The following is a 10,518-nucleotide window of genomic DNA, read 5'->3' on the forward strand; positions in this document are numbered from 1 at the left end:
CAAAAGAACAAAAAAATGGAGGAAATAAGCAGAAAACAAATAATAAAATGGTAGGTTTGAATCCAAACATATCAATAATGACATTAAATGTAACTGGTCTAAATTAAAAGACAGAGACCTGGTGCCATGGCTCGTACCTGTCATCCCAGCACTTTGGGAGGCCAAGGCAAGAGGATCACTTGAGGCCAGGAGTTCAAGACCAGCCTGGGCAATACAGTGGGACGCTGTCTCTACAGATTTTTTTTTTAATTACCCAGGCATATGGTGTGCGCCTGTGGTCCCAGCTAGTCAGGAGGCCAGGGTGGGAGGATCGCTTGAGCCCAGGAGGTCGAGGCTGCAGTGATGTGATCATGATACTGTACTCCGGCCTGGGCAACAGAGTGAGACCGTATCTCTACAAAAAAAATTAAAAATTAAAAAAGACAGATGGTCACAATGGATTTCTTTAAATGACCCACCTATATTTCTACCCTCAAGAAACTCACTTCAAAGATAATATTGGTAGGTCAGTGTTAAAAGGATAGAAAAAGATATATCATCATGCAGGCACAAATTTTAATAAACTGAACTGCCTATATTAATATCAGATAAAGTGGACTTCAGAGAAAAGAAAATTATCGGCAGCAAAGAGGTAAATTACGTGATGATAAAAGGGTCAATTCAGCCTGTAATCTCAGCACTTTGGGAGAGGATGGTCATCGAGACCATCCTGGCTAACACGGTGAAACCTCGTCTCTACTGAAAATACAAAAAAAAAAAAAAAAAGCCGGGCATGGTGGCGGGCGCTGTAGTCCCAGCTACTCGGGAGGCTGAGGCAGGAGAATGGCGTGAACCTGGGAGGTGGAGCTTACAGTGAGCAGAGATCACGCCACTGCACTCCAGCCTGGGCGACAGAGCGAGACTCTGTCTGAAAAAAAAAAAAAAAGGGTCAATTCACCAAAAAGATATAACAATCCTGAGTGTGTGTACAACTTAGAACACAGGTTCCAAGTATGTGAAGCAAAACCCATGAGACAGAAATGGAATAAATCCGGAATTATAGTTGGAGACCTCAACACTTCTGTCCCAGAGCAAACAGACAGAAAATCATCAAGGGCATAGAACTGAACATCACCATCAACCAACTTGATCTAATTGAATTTATGGAACACTCCACCCAACCAGAGCAGAAAACAAAGACTTCTCAAGGGCACCTGGAACATTTACCAAGAGAGGCGGGTGATGCCCAGAGTCATTAAAAAATCTTAGGCCAGCCAGGCGTGGTGTCTGGTGCCTGTAATCCTGGCACTTTGGGAGGACAAGGTGGGAGGATTGCTTGAGGCCAGGAGTTCAAGGCCAGCCTGGGTGACATAGTGAGACCCTGTCTCTATTTTTTTTAATCTTAAATAAATCTGAAAGAAATGAATCATACGAAGTATGTTCTCTGATTATAATGAAATTAAACTAGTTATAACAGAGATACATGCTTAAAAGTTAAGCACTGTACTGCTTAAAAGCTGGTTAAAAGTTAAGCACCGTACCACTAAATAATCCAGAAAGAGAAAGTCTCTAGGGAATTTAAAGATAATATTTAACTGAACAAAAATGAAAATATATAAAAACCTGAAGTATGTAACTAAAGTAGTGATTGGAGGAAAAGTTACAACACTAAATGTCTATATTACGAAAGAAGAAAGATCTCAAAAGAATAATCCAAGCTTTCACCTCAAGAAATTATTTTGAGACAGCAAAATAAACCCAAAGCAAGTAGAACAAAGGAACAGAAATCAATGAAACTTAAAACATGATGGAGAAAATCAGTGGAAAGAGAGCTGGTTTCTGAGACAATTAATAAAATCATAAAACTTTAGCAAAATTGACAAAAAATGAGAGAATAAATAATATCAGGAATAAAAGAAGGGATATCAAAATTATAGACTCTGTAGACGTTAAAAGGAAAACAGAATACTACAAATCTACACACACAGATTCAACACATTGCATGAAATTAACCAATTACTCAAAAACAGCAAGCTACCAAAACATCTCCAAGTGGAACAGATAATCCAAATAGTTCTATAACTCTTAAATAAATGGAATTTCTTTAATAAATTCCTTAGTTAACATGCCTTCCAAAAAAGAAATATCCAGGCCCGGATGGTTTCACCATCTGGTGAATTCTACCAAACATTTAAAGAGGAAATAGTACCAATTCCATCTAATATCTTCCAGAAAATAGAAGAAAGAGCACTTCCTGTGTGATTATATGAAACCAATATTACCCTGACACCAAAAGAAGACAAAAACAACATTTTAAAATGGCACACTAATATCTGTCATGAACAAAGATGCAAAAATCATCAACAAACTTAGCAAATCGAATACAGAAATATATAAAAATAATTATAAGCCATGATCATGTAGGATTTATTCCAGGAATGCAAATGCTCTTCGACAGTTGACGGGGTAAATAAACTTGGACATCCACACAGGGAATACTACTCGGTAACATGAAGGAACAACTATTGAGACATGCAACAATTTAATGGATCTTAAATGCATTATACTCAATGAAAAAGGCCAATCTCTCTCTCTCTTTTTTTCTCTCTCTCTATATGTATATATTTTATCCTATATAGTTTCATTTACATAATATTCTTGAAATAACAAAGTTGTAGAGCTAGAGAACAGATAAGTAGTTGCCAGGGGTTAGGGTTTGAGGCAGAATGTGACTGAAAAATGAATGAAAAAGTCATATATCCCGACTGTGATCATAGCTGCACAAATCCATAAGTTTGTGAACTACGAACAGAAAAAATACATGTGAAAAACTGACAAAATCTGAACAAGATCTGTAGCTCAGTGAACAGTTTGGTACCAATGTCAGTTTCTTGGTTTTGATATGCTTTGATTTTGATAGTTATGTAGATAATATTGAAAGCACTGGTTGAAGAGCATATGAGAACTCTGTACGTTCTTTGCAACTTCTCTGTGAGCTCTAAAATTATTTCAAAATTCAAACTTTTTTTAAAAAAAAGGCTGGGTATGGTGGCTTCTGCCTGTAATCCCAGGACTTTGGGAGGCCGAGGTGGGAGGATTGCTTGAGCCCAGGAGTTCAAGGTGAGCCTGGGCAACATGGCAAAACCTCATCTCTAAAAAAAAATACAAAAAGTTAAAAAAAAAAAGGGGGGGAGAAATAATTAGAACAGATACTGCCTGAAAGAAGATACACATGCAATTGGCCAGTGAGCTCAGGAACCAGAGCTCAGACCCAACCACCATCAGGGACACCCAGAGGAGAACCGCGATCAGAGCCCACGGCACACCCACAACCATAGTGGAAACTTCAGGCAAGTGTTTACTGAGGATGTGGAAGAATCGGAACTCTCAGGCACCACTTGTGAGAATGTAAGATGGTGCAACCGCCCTGGGAAACCAGCAGCTTCACAGGAAGTTAAACACGCAACTGCCTCGTACCCCGGCCACTCGAGTCCACGCGTTTACCCACAAGAAACAGAAGGACACATCCTCACCAAGGCTCAGGCCCAAGTGTTCACAGCAGGCTTCATCACAATGGACCCCAAACCAGAGCAACTGTGGCACAGCCATGCCAGGGGACATTCGGCAATCACAGGTGTTTTTTATTTTTTATTTTTTTGTTTTTGTTTTTTTGAGATGGGAGTCTCACTCTGTCGCCCAGGCTGGAGTACTATGGTGTGATCTCAGCTCACCGCATCCCCTGCCTCCCAGGTTCAAGCAATTCTCCGGCCTCAGCCTCCGGAGTAGCTGGGATTACAGGTGCCCGCCACCGTGCCCAGCTGATTTTTGTGTTTTTAGTAGAGATGGGGTTTCACCATGTTGGCCAAGCTGGTCTTGAACTCCTGACTTCAGGTGATCTGCCCACCTCGGCCTCCCAAAGAGCTGGGATTATAGGCGTGAGCCACCACCGGCCCGGCAATCGAACTTGGATGCACCTCAAAAACAAATGCCGAGGCCAGAAGAGTCCATATTGTCTTACTCCACCACAGGAAAGCCACACACAAACCCATCCATGGTGACAAAGTGCCAGTCAGTGATTGTATGAGGTGGGGCGGTTTGTTGCGGATGATATGAGGGGTCTTTTTGGGGTGATGGATGTTACTGATGATATGAGGGGTCTTTTTGGGGTGATGGATGTTACTGATGATATGAGGGATCTTTTTGGGGTGACAGATGCTGTGGATGATATGAGGGATCTTTTTGGGGTGATGGATGTTACTGATATGAGGGATCTTTTTGGGGTGATGGATGTTACTGATATGAGGGATCTTTTTGGGGTGATGGATGTTACTGATGATATGAGGGATCTTTTTGGGGTGATGGATGTTACTGATGATATGAGGGGTCTTTTTGGGGTGATGGATGTTACTGATGATATGAGGGATCTTTTTGGGGTGATGGATGTTACTGATGATATGAGGGGTCTTTTTGGGGTGACGGATGTTACTGATGATTTGAGGGGTCTTTTCGGGGTGATGGATGTTACTGATGATATGAGGGGTCTTTTTGGGGTGATGGATGTTACTGATGTGAGGGATCTTTTTGGGGTGTGGATGCTGCAGATTGTATGAGGGATCTTTTTGGGGTGATGGATGTTACTGATGATATGAGGGGTCTTTTTGGGGTGACGGATGTTACTGATGATATGAGGGGTCTTTTTGGGGTGATGGATGTTACTGATGATATGAGGGGTCTTTTTGGGGTGATGGATGTTACTGATGATATGAGGGATCTTTTTGGGGTGACGCTGCGGATGGTATGAGGGATCTTTTTCGGGTGATGGATGTTACTGATGATATGAGAGGTCTTTTTGAGGTGATGGATGTTACTGATGGTATGAGGGGTCTTTTTGGGGTGATGGATGTTACTGATGTGAGGGGTCTTTTTGGGGTGATGGATGTTACTGATGATATGAGGCATCTTTTTTGGGGTGACAGATGCTGCGGATGATATGAGGGATCTTTTTGGGGTGATGGATGTTACTGATGGTATGAAAGATCTTTTTGGGGTGATGGATGCTGCAGATGGTATGAGGGATCTTTTTGGGGTGATGGATGTTACTGATATGAGGGATCTTTTTGGGGTGATGGATGTCACTGATAAGAGGGATCTTTCTGGGGTGATGGATGCTGCAGATGATATGAGGGATCTTTTTGGGGTGATGGATGTTACTGCTGACATGAGGGGTCTTTTTGGGTGATGCATGTTACTGATGATATGAGGGATCTTTTTGGGGTGACAGATGCTGCGGATGGTATGAGGGATCTTTTTGGGGTGATGGATGTTACTGATTATATGAGGGGACTTTTGGGGTCATGGGTGTTACTGATATGAGGGGTCTTTTTGGGGTGATGGATGCTGCAGATGGTATGAGGGGTCTTTTTGGGGTGGTGGATGTTACTGATGATATGAGGGGTCTTTTTGGGGTGATGGATGTTACTGATGATATGAGGGGTCTTTTTGGGGTGATGGATGTTACTGATGATATGAAGGGTCTTTTTGGGGTGATGGATGTTACTGATGATATGAGGGGTCTTTTGGGGTGATGGATGTTACTGATGATATGAGGGATCTTTTTGGGGTGATGGATGTTACTGATGATATGAGGGATCTTTTTGGAGTGATGGATGTTCTCTGTCTTGATTGTGTTCATGGTCACACAGTTATATAAATTTGCCAGAACTCATCAAGCTATACACTTTAAGTGGGTGCATCTTCCTGTATGTAAACGGCACCTCCCCAGAGATGATTCTTCAAAGCCCTCCTCCTTTTCTAACCTCCTCCTGGGCTTGCTGTAACTTTGTGGTCCCTGACAGCTGCACCCACCGCCCTCCATGCCCTCTACCCTGCTGACCAACTCCCCGTCCACCTTCTCCCAGTTGGCCCAGCTCAAGGGGCAGCCCCCTGCATCGAAAGCAGTTAGGGCCTCCTCCTCCGGCACCACCTGGGAAAAGGTGACTGTGGCCTCTGGAAAGGCTTCCTGGCTCCGGTTGCCAGGAAGAGGCATTCGCACTGCCTCCCTCCTCTGTCCCAGACAGCCCCAGGGCCTCTCACTAAGCCCAGCTGGCCGAATCCGTGCAAAGCTCCTCTCCAAACCGACTTGAGTAACTTCTCTGGCTGAAAATGGGAAGCAGTTGCATAACCAGACATCTGCGGATCCAATTCCTGAGAAAATGTAGGCAGATGCGCCGGACAGTTAGGAGAGGCCCTGAGAAGATGAAGACACGGGCCGGAGGCCACACTTGGCCTGTCTCCCGTTGGCCTGACACATTTTGCAGCTGCTTATCAGGGGGTTAGGAGAACGCTGAATAGGAGGCTGGGGAGGCCAATTCCACAGCGTATGACACACGCGTACCACTGCTTCCAAGGGAATTCATCAAACCAGTTCTTTGCGTAATCGCCTAATGCTTCCTCCTGGGGGAGGGGATTTGTTTATTGATCTTCTTCCCTTCCTATAGATCTGTTGTTCATAGGCATGAGGTGAACACGCGCATTTTCCAGCCAGGAGAACGTTCCGCTCAGCACGCACACCTGGAGACAGCCCAGCCCTGAGCAGGAAATGCCTGCTGGGCTTGAAGAGGGCTTCCTGGGGTGTGATGGATGATTGGGTTCTTTTTAAAGAATAGGAGGCCCCAGTCAGCTTTCCAAGTCCCACACACAGGAGGTCGGGGGGACAGGCCCCTGGCCAGCTCCCATCCTGCTGTGGTCCCAGCACCCCCAGACCTCCCGGCAGCTGACCCAGACTCTTGGGACCTGGCACCCTCATCCCTGGAGGTCAACACTCCAATGTCCGCTGGGCGTCTGACCTGGAGGACAGGGCTCCAAGGCACAGCCCATGGCTGAGAGTGAAGAAACGGCGCCCTCATGGCGGACCCTCCACCAAGCGGCCAGTGAACGAAGTGTGTTTGTACGGGAGGGCTTCCAGCCGCCGCGACCCCCACCATCGAGAAACCATCCTCTGGGCCCACCGCAGAACTCACTGTGCCCACAGCGGGGCTCTCTGGGGAGGGTCCTCGGAGCACAGTGGCGAGTGGACGGCACCCTGACCATCCCGGGCAGGCTTTCCAAACTCGGCTGGTGGACAGCTTCCCTGCTGGGTCCCTGAAGTGAGGCCAGGTCACCCACAAGCCAGGAGCATTGGCCGCACCCTGGCAGCCCTTGGCATCCTCTCTCATTGGGGCGTCACGTTGTCCCAGGGAGCCAGGCTGGTGACACTGGGGTCTGGAAAGAGGGGCCTAGCCCTGTCACACACACTGTCAGCCCTCCAAGGTGGCACGGGGACGGCGAGGCCGACAGCTGCTTGTGCGGAACTGGGCTGGTCCCATCGGCTCTGGAATCAGACCCCCTGAGGCTTGGAAATAAGATGGACCGGGGTCAGGCGATGCTCAGTTGAAGGCAGACACCGCTCCCCACTTTGCTCCACAAGCACAAGCTCTTCCCAGCCAAGGCACAGCAGGGCAGGGGCCGCCAGGCACAGTGAAGGGGGCCAGGGCCTGCAGTCCCCCATCCAGAGCTGGGCAGGGAGCCATGCAGGCTGCGAGGTGGGGTGGCTGCTGCAGCTCCCAAGGGGTCTGGTGTGGACTAGAGGGCGAGTGGAGAACCTGGGACCTCTGCAGGGCGCACAGCCATTTCCACACACAGCCCACTTCAGACCACTTGCTGCGGTGGTCACTGGTGGTCAGCCCATAGCAAAGCGTCTGGCCCTGTGCCCCCACCCTGCCAGCACCAGGCTGGACAGTCCCCAGCGGCTGCACGGTGGCCTGGGCAGCTGTGATGGGAGAGGCCCCCACAGACGAGGCCCCAAGTCGGCTCCTGGCTCTGCCCTGGACCGGCTCTGGGTTCTCGAGAGGCTGGCCCAGCCCTGCGCTGCTCTGAGCCATGCGGACCCCGTGGGGAGGACCCCATACTGCAGATCCCTCACCGGTAGCCCCCACTCCAGGCCAGACTGAAACACCGCGGTGGGCTCCTGGAGCACCCCCCACGCCCGGGGCTGGCTGGCCTGGGAGGAGGGGACACAAGAACTTGGGACGGCAGTTCTCAAAATGCAGTCTGGGGACCGCAGAGGTTCCTGAGATGCTCTGGGGGGTCTGTGAGGCCAAACTTATTTTGATGATGAAACTGACACATTATCCGTCTTTCTCATTCTCGCTCTCACGAATGTTCCAAGTACAAAACCCACGATGCAGTTTCAGATCTCACGTCCCAACAGACCTTTAAGACAGGACCACTTGTTGTGTTTGGGGATCGAATCGAAGCTTATCCACAGTTATCTGAGAGGACTGCCGAGGCACTCCTCCCTCCAAGTGCGCGGTGAGGCCAGACTTTCCACAGATTTGCCCAAAACCCCATTGCAGTGGCTTGAACACAGAAGCAGCTCCGAGAACCAGCTGTCTCCCGTGAAGCCAGACACCGAACAGACTGGAAAAGGGAAAAACAGTGCATATTCCTCACAGATCTTCCGTTCGGGAAACGATAATTTAATTGTTTTAATTAAAAACATAATATGTGAAAATGTAGTGGGTTTATCCTTGTTAATGTGAAACGGATCGATACATCAGTATTTTTGGATTTCTGTTTTAATTTCTGATATAATCAATGTTGATAGACATAACTTGTGCAAACAAAGCTCTTCACGGTCTCCCAAGATCTGTGGGTGTGGGGTGGGATCGTGAGACCACAGTGTGGGGAGCAGGTCCCTCGGTCACCGTCCAGGCTCGGCAGCCCCTCGGCACGGGGCATCCGCGTCCAGAGTCCTACAAGAAGGAGCCTCAGAGAACAGAGCCCCTGGCGCCCCAGCGTGAGAAGCTTCCAATGCTTTCTCAGCATCTTTTTCCAGATAAAAATGCCAGCCCTTCCTCTCCAAAGATCTGAACCGCCTAGGGTTTTCTTGGCCTGGCATCACGCCTTCCCTCATCCGGCACCAACCCTTCCCTCCCGTCTCTATGGTTTCTCCCGCTCTTTATCCTCACAGCCCTGTGGAAAGACATGGTCTGTGTGCCTGGAAAACGATGCAAGGCCGTGGTGCCTGTGACGTCCTCAGACTCACACCCCAATGCGGGGGACTGAACGTTTGTGTTCTCCCCAGTTCACAGGTTGAAGGCCTTGCCCCCAGTGCAGCTGTGTCTGGACACTGGGCCTCTGGGAAGTGATGATGGTTAAATGATGTCAGGAGGATGGAGCCCGGGTCGGCTACGGCTGTGGCCCCAGTGACGCCGGTGTACTCAGGCGCCTGCCAGCTGGGAAGAGGCCTCACCAAGCCCAGCCCTGCAGCACCTTGGCCTTGGCCTTCCAGCCTCCGGATGCGAGAGGATAAATGTCTCCTGCTGAAGCCGCCAGGTCTGTGTTCTCCTTGTGGCTGCAGCAGCCGCACTAAGACACTGGCCACACCTGGTTTCTCCACAGCCGCTGCAGCCACGAGGAGAAGGCCACCCTCTCGCGTTCAAACACAGGTGCTTTTTAATTTCCATAGTCAGTTGCGTCAAGGTGTAACTTACATAAGAGAAAGTGCAGATCGTAAGGGTTAGACTTCGATGCCTTCTTGCAGGTGCACCCACCGTGGAACCACAGCCACAGTGGAGCTGTGGAATGTGCCCGTCACCCACAGCCCGCCTCTGAGTCACTGCCGTCACCCACAGCCCTGCCCCGACCCACAGCCTGCGTCTCAGTCACTGCCCATCACCCACAGCCCTGCATCTCAGTCACTGCCCGTCACCCACAGCCCTGCCTCTCAGTCCCTGCCGTCACCCACAGCCCTGCCTCTCAGTCACTGCCCGTCACCCACAGCCCTGCCTCTCAGTCACTGCCCGTCACCCACAGCCCTGCCTCTCAGTCACTGCCCGTCACCCACAGCCCTGCCTCTCAGTCCCTGCCGTCACCCACAGCCCTGCCTCTCAGTCACTGCCCGTCACCCACAGCCCTGCCTCTCAGTCCCTGCCGTCACCCTGGCTGCTCCTGGAGTTGCACAGAAATGGAATTGTGTGCTTGGATGCCTCCGTGCCCAGCCCCTGTCCCTCCGCGATTCCTCCTTGCTGCTTTGCGGAGCAGTTGTTGGCCGCTCACAGCTGGGCAGGGCCCGTCCTGGCAACAGACCCCTCCTGCTGCGGTGGTTCCCTCGGTGGTGGACGGGGCTGTCGGCACATTTTAGCTGTCACCAATAAAGCTGCTGTGAACATCCCTGTACACGTCGTTGTGTGGAATGAGTTTGGTGTGTCTTAGGGAACTCCTTGGGAGTGGAATGCCTGAGTCACCAGGTGAGGACAAACTCAGCCTTTTATGAAACTGCCAAGTGGTTGTGACACTTAAACTCCCACCAGCACTGTGTCATCGTCTGGCAGCCCTGCAACCCCCCAACGTCTGGTATCTTTTTAATTTGAGATGTTCCAGTGGGTATGTATTGGTGTGTCACCGTGGTTTTAATTCACGTTAAATTAACTACTTGGGCTACACACACACACACACACACACGCACGCATATATTTGGTATTATACCAATACCACGGT

The 10,518-nt window shown here is 49.2% G+C and overlaps 2 annotated features.

The window, feature by feature from the left end:
- Positions 6,077–6,787: an enhancer, noted in NCBI's record as "OCT4-NANOG-H3K27ac-H3K4me1 hESC enhancer chr21:47469227-47469937 (GRCh37/hg19 assembly coordinates)". NCBI's record gives its function as "activates a minimal SCP1, AML or CMV promoter by ChIP-STARR-seq in primed H9 embryonic stem cells {active_cell/tissue: H9 hESC(primed)}" and the evidence as "EXISTENCE:reporter gene assay evidence [ECO:0000049][PMID:30033119]".
- Positions 6,788–7,498: an enhancer, noted in NCBI's record as "OCT4-NANOG-H3K27ac-H3K4me1 hESC enhancer chr21:47469938-47470648 (GRCh37/hg19 assembly coordinates)". NCBI's record gives its function as "activates a minimal SCP1, AML or CMV promoter by ChIP-STARR-seq in naive H9 embryonic stem cells {active_cell/tissue: H9 hESC(naive)}" and the evidence as "EXISTENCE:reporter gene assay evidence [ECO:0000049][PMID:30033119]".

This window comes from Homo sapiens, chromosome 21 (genome assembly GCF_000001405.40).
Source record: "Homo sapiens chromosome 21, GRCh38.p14 Primary Assembly".
In the NCBI taxonomy this organism is placed as follows: domain Eukaryota; kingdom Metazoa; phylum Chordata; class Mammalia; order Primates; family Hominidae; genus Homo; species Homo sapiens.